The sequence below is a fragment of the Homo sapiens genome, chromosome 11, assembly GCF_000001405.40.
Source record: "Homo sapiens chromosome 11, GRCh38.p14 Primary Assembly".
NCBI classification, from domain to species: domain Eukaryota; kingdom Metazoa; phylum Chordata; class Mammalia; order Primates; family Hominidae; genus Homo; species Homo sapiens.
The window spans coordinates 30,806,587-30,813,033 of record NC_000011.10 but is presented as its reverse complement, the minus strand read 5'-3'; positions in this window follow the sequence as shown (position 1 = coordinate 30,813,033).

Here is a 6,447-nt window from a genome sequence, read left to right as displayed (position 1 = left end):
AGGAAGAAGGAAGAGAAAGGAAGGGAGGAAGGAAGGAAGGAAGGAAGGAAGGAAGGAAGGAAGGAAGGAAGCTGGTGCAACTATTCAAGAAGCATAAAATGACACTTGTAAATTTAAAGTAGGACCTCAAACTATGTTCAAGGAAAATTGATATCATATTGCCACTCCCAAGAACTAGCATCAAGTATTGCCAAGGAGGGTAAAATGTTTCTCAAAGAGAGAAACAGAGGGTAAATAAAGGGCAGAACAGAAAAATTATTATAAGTATAAAAGTGTGTGGGTGCCAATTAGTAATAAATATTGTAGGAATAAAAATAGCCCTCGGCATGAAGAAGGAAGGTTACTTGGTAATTAAGGAAATTGAGAGGCTTATTGGACATCTAAAATATCAGGAAGGAAGATAATGAAAGCGTAATTGCAGATAAAAATTATAAGAGTGTCAAAAATGACTGAGGAGCGCTGAAGTTGCAAATGAAATGGAAATATCAAAGCAGTGCAGATAACATGTTACTTGTGTCTTAATTGCTGTAGGTAAAAAGCAAAGGGAAGAAATGATGACAGCAGAAAGTGGAGCTCATATTTGTCTTTGAGAGCCACTCACAAGAAGGCAGATCTCAAAGTGACAGCCCTGGACACTTTGAAAAATAATTTATTCAAAGATATTCATTTTCAAGATAGTCAATTTCTAAAAATGTGGAGAGTCTGGATGTTCTTTTTTTTTTTCTCTCTCCCAGATGCTGTTAGGTTAAACTATATAAAATTACTGATTTTCCACAGTTATTGACCAGGCGGTTTCATACGGTTCATTTAATAGAGTGCTCAGGGTAGCCACTGCTTAACATTAAGATTAATCATTTGTGGAACATTTCTTGGATTCTTTATGCAGAACACAATCTTATAATTAAAGAAAAATAGTTTCTAGGCTGAATTAAATTTTCCTTTAGCATGTATTCATTTTTTCTGAACATGGATGTATATAGTCTGTGAACTCTTGAGAGGAGGCTTCGTGCCTTTTCTAATGCATAGCCCGAGTGCCCAGACACATAAAGTATTTATCGTCAAATCACTATGATAAACAAGACCCCAAATAAAGTTTTGCTGAGTTGTAAGGTGAAGTATTTCTTTTAACGGAAAAAAATAAAGTGAGCTCTGAAGTAGAAGCTGCCTTGTGCTCCCAAGACACATTCCTGGCTGCTAGTGGTGGACAGTGTTAACAGGCTTTCAACCACATTCTTCCTATATTGGAAGCTCCTTTACAATAAGTAAAATAAACCACCAATACAGAGTGTCAATAAATGAGTCTAATTCTGCTTGATGGATTTTATCAAATATTTACATTAAGGGGAACATTCCAACTTCCCTCAAGGGGTTATTCTAGAGACTAACAAGACAAGACAGTTATTTTCAGCAACAGCCAAATAATTGGTATTTGATAGAGTTGTCTGATTCACTGATAATTAAAATTATAAATGGGTCTTGTTTGGCCTGAGTGATTATGTTCATGCTCTGGTGGCTCTGCCCTTTAAGTACTGGGGCATGTAATTAGACCCCTCTTTGACCTTTGAATATCATGGTGACCACATCTAGACTGTGACATCCATGGCCTAGATAAGTGCTTAGAACCAGATGGTGTTTTCAGATAGAATTATCACAGGCTCCTATTACCATTCCTTGGCTTACCATAGACAACAGAGAAAATGACTTGGGGATGTTGCATCTTGGACACGTTATGCTACGTATCTCAGAACTTACTTTTATTCCCTGAAAAAGTTACTGACAGATGAGTCAAGACAAATTTGCCATAATTTCCCTTTTTCTCTTTCTTGAATTTTCTACTGTGTTCTATAAATAAACTTAAATTACAGTGTTGTAATATATATGTGTGTTCAGTTTGTGACTACCTGGATTCCTCTAGATACTATAGGTTGAACCACATGAAATTACCAATATTCAATTCCCACTCAAGTTGAATTCCCTGTATGTGTCTTGGTTTCGAATCATGGCATCATAGAACTTAATTCCTGGCAACAAGGGCATGTATATCTATTTCAATCCTGCATTTTACAGATGAAGAAGTCAAATTAGAAAGAGGCTAGAGGTTAAATGACATGCCAAAGAACACCCAGTTGATGAATGGGGTTCAGGACTAGAACTCAAATCTCTTGGCCCCAACTTTCTAGCTTTTCTTCCCCCTAAAGAGGACCTCTAGCTAGTAAGAGTGTTCTCCATTAAAATAACATAAGTTGAATAGTTCCTTCTACTGTAAATACCCCTCAGTACTATTTCAATACAATATTTTCAAACCACATTCTGTATAGCCCTAGGTTCCACGTTTGTTTGTTTTTTTCTTAGAGGTGTCACACAAGATTGTCTTGTGGTAGGACATAGAAATATGCTCCAAAACTTTAATATGAAAGAGCCTTATGGCACTAAGCAACTTGGATGGAAGGTGGTGGTTGAGTTGAGGAAGGAAGGGAGGAGAACCATCTTCTAACCAGAACAGTTCCACTTTCATCTCCTTTAAATATATGTTTGTGTTCTGCACAATATTACATATGGAAAAAATAAGTTTGGAGATCACAGAAACCCATCAAACTACACAAGCATCTAGGATATCTTATGTGAAAAAGTTTATCTAAATCCAAAATCTAACTAAAATAGCAGCGCAAGCTCTATGCAATAAATATTCTCCAGGCCTGAAACAAGCAGATGGAGTACTCATTGCCAATCAGCTTTTTATTTTTTTCCCAGTTTTTGCTAACTATAAATGTATTCTGATTTGCAACCACTGCTTAAGGGAGACATTGCGTCTTGCCACATTTCATTTGTAGAATTACTTTAACCAACAGTGCCTGACATTTACTTTAAACAAATAAAACCTATTTTTGTATCACATAGAATTTGAAATTTGGGCAACTTTCTTTACTCCTAGATATGTTACTACCACCCATTCTCCTGGAAAAGCATCTCTGGGTAGATTTTTAAATAATCATCAGACTATATGCAAACTTAGCTGGTCAGAAGCCAGACATAGTTTGATCACCATGAGCCACACACAGAGATTCTGATTTTCACCAGGTATTCAAATGCAGGAATGAAGCTGGTATATTCATTGGTGTGGCACTTTATAAGCAATACCGACTTAGATGGTGAGTTGCTTGGGGTTTGTAATAAGAAATACCAAAGTTTGTACCCATTGCAAAAGTGACTGGGGGAAAGAAACAAACAAGGGCAGAAGCTCTGAATTAGATTATATAAAGTGAACTAAGTGGGCAATGCTGAAAGAAGAGAAAGCAGCTACCTCCCGCATGACATTTGCCAATGGTCTAACCAGCTCCAGTGCCACCTCTGTGTGAGTGAATAAACACCACCAATTAATGCAATTTGTTTTCTTGACATTATAACAGCTACATTTTGATACTGATGAAATTATAGTAGATCAGTATTTGAGGCATTAATTAAAATTTTGATGAGGTCAAGTTTTCCGTCACACAAACAGTCCAAAATAAAAATCATATTTTAAATACTGTGATAATGGGGTTACCAAGACCACATCTTAAATAATGATTGAGATTATTTCAAGATAATTTTATCTAAGTAGCAAAATTAAGTTATTTGAGTGAACGTTTTATTTCCTATTTTCTTCAGGTTTAATAATACTACAAATATTGAGTGATGCAAAAAAAAAAAAACCTGAAGAAGATGACTGAAGTAATAGCTGCCATTTATGAAATATTTAATTATATCCCAGGTACTGTGCTAGGCTCTTTACATGAATTAACTCATTTACTACTCACATAGCTCTCTAACGCAGGTACTTTTATCATTATTTTATGTTACAGGTAAAGACACTGAGACAAAGAAAGATATAGCAACCTGCCCAAGGTTTTACACATAGCAAGTGGCAGAAATGGGGTTTGATTCCTGACTCACCACACCCAAGAGCAGCACTGTCCAATAGAACTTTCGGCAACGATGAAAATTCTCTACCTGTTGTCGGATATGGTAGCCACTAGCCACATGGAGCTATTGGGCACTTGAAATGTGGCTAGTGCCACATTTATTATTAATTGAATTCAATTTACATTTAAATTGCCACTTAAATAGTGGCAATTTAATCACTGGACGGCACAGTTCTGGAGACTGTAAACTTGGCCTTTGTGCTTTGTTAAAGCTTCAGCTGCTTTTCTACAGTATTTTGTCTTTCCAAAACGGGAAGGGTCAGCTCTCAGTCATGTAGTGGTCTCTCTAGAACAGCTTCTTCAACCTTTGAGCATTACTGCTTCCCCCATCCACTAAGGAGCCTTTTAGACATTTTTTTTTTTTTAATGTTAACCTTGTGATGGTTAATTTTATGTGTCAACTTGACTGAGCCACAATGTGCCTAAACATTTGGTCAAATGTTATTCTGGGTGTTTCTATGAGGGTCTATTTGGATAAGATTAACATTTAAATCTGTAGACTAAGAAAAGCAGATTGTCTTCCCTAATGTGGGTGGCCTCATCCAATCGGTGAAGGCCTCAACTGAACAAAAAAGCTAACCCTACCCGCAGCAAGAGAGACGTCTCCTGCCTGAAGTCCTTTAAACTGGGACTTTGGCTCTTCCTGGTTCTACTGTAGGCTGTGGGCCTTCAAACTTGAACTGGGACAGCAGCTTTGTGAATTTGGGGCTTGCTACCCTCCATGATGAGCCAATCAATTCCTTATAATAAATGTCCCTCACTCTCTCTCTCCGTATGTGAGATATTTCGCATTCTTTTTCACACTAAAAGTCTTCAAAATACAGTATGTTATATTTATATAACATTTCAGCTCAAAGTGGTCACATTTCAAGTGCTCTATAGCCACATGTGGCTATTGGTTCTCATTGTATTGGATAACATAGTTCTAAAATGTTCATTCTCTTTGGGGATGATGTTGTACACAAAGGGTTAAAAGTTGAAATTGATTCTAGAGAATAAGGAAATCTTACTCACGTCATATATATGTTATATATATACTTTATATATAAAGCAAGTAAGATTATATACAGTGCATAAAAAGATATACATTTTATCTATGGCATTAAATTTTCATATATATGAAATATATATATTTAGATATGTAAATATATGAGATTTTGAAAACCAAGAAAAGTAAATTCTGTATATATACTCACATATATTTTATATTTATATGTGTGTCCTATTGGTTCTGTTTCTCTAGAGAACTCTTGACTAATAGGCTTGCCATGAAATTTTAATACCACAAACTCTATATATTTTTGTGTACCGTATGTACATCTGTGCTTTATACATAAAATGAGTAAGATTTCCATCCTCTAGACTCAATTTCAACTTTTGCTTGATTGTATACAACATTGCCCCCAATGAGAATGAACTTTAGAATTGTGCTGTTGAATATCGTGACAGCCAGTAGCCATGTGTGTCTACAGAGCACTTACCAATAATAGACAAGCAGAGAGCCAAATCATGAGTGAAGTCTCATTCACAATTGCTACAAAGAAAATAAAATACCCAGGATTACAACTTACAAGGGACATGAAGGACCTCTTCAAGGAGAACTACAAACCGCTGCTCAAGGAAATAAGAGAGGACACAAACAAATGGAAAAAAATTCCATGCTCATGAATAGGAAGAATCAATATTGTGAAAATGGCCATACTGCTTAAAGTAATTTATAGATTCAATACTATTCTCATCAAGCTACCATTGACTTTCTTCACAGAACTAGAACAAATTACTTTAAATTTCATATGGAACCAAAAAGAGCCTGTATAGCCAAGACAATCCTAAGCAAAAAGAAAAAAGCTGGAGGCATCACACTCCAACTTCAAAGTATACTACAAGGCTGCAGTAACCAAAACAGCATGGTACTGGACCAAAACAGATCCATAGACCACTGGAACAGAATGGAGGCCTCAGAAATAACACCACACATCTACAATTATCTGATCTTCAACAAACCTGACAAAAAACAAGCAATGGGGAAAGGATTCCCTATTTAATGAATGGTACTGGGAAAACTGGCTAGCTATATGCAGAAAACAGAAACTGGACCCCTTCCTTACACCTTATACAAAAATTAACTCAAAGTGGATTAGAGACTTAACACGTAAAACCTAAAACCATAAAACCCCTAGAAGAAAACCTACACAGTACCATTCAGGACATAGGCATGAGCAAAGACTTCATGACTAAAACACCAAAAGCAATGGCAACAAAAGCCAAAATTGACAAGTGGGATCTAATTAAACTAAAGAGCGTCTGCATAGCCAAAAGAAACCATCATCAGAGTGAAGAGGCAGACTATAGAATGGGAGAAAATTTTTGCAATCTATCCATCTGACAAAGGTCCAATATCCAGAATCTACAAGGAACTTAAACAAATTTCCAAAAAAAAAAAAACAACCCCATTAAAAAGTGGGTGAAGGATATGAACAGACAC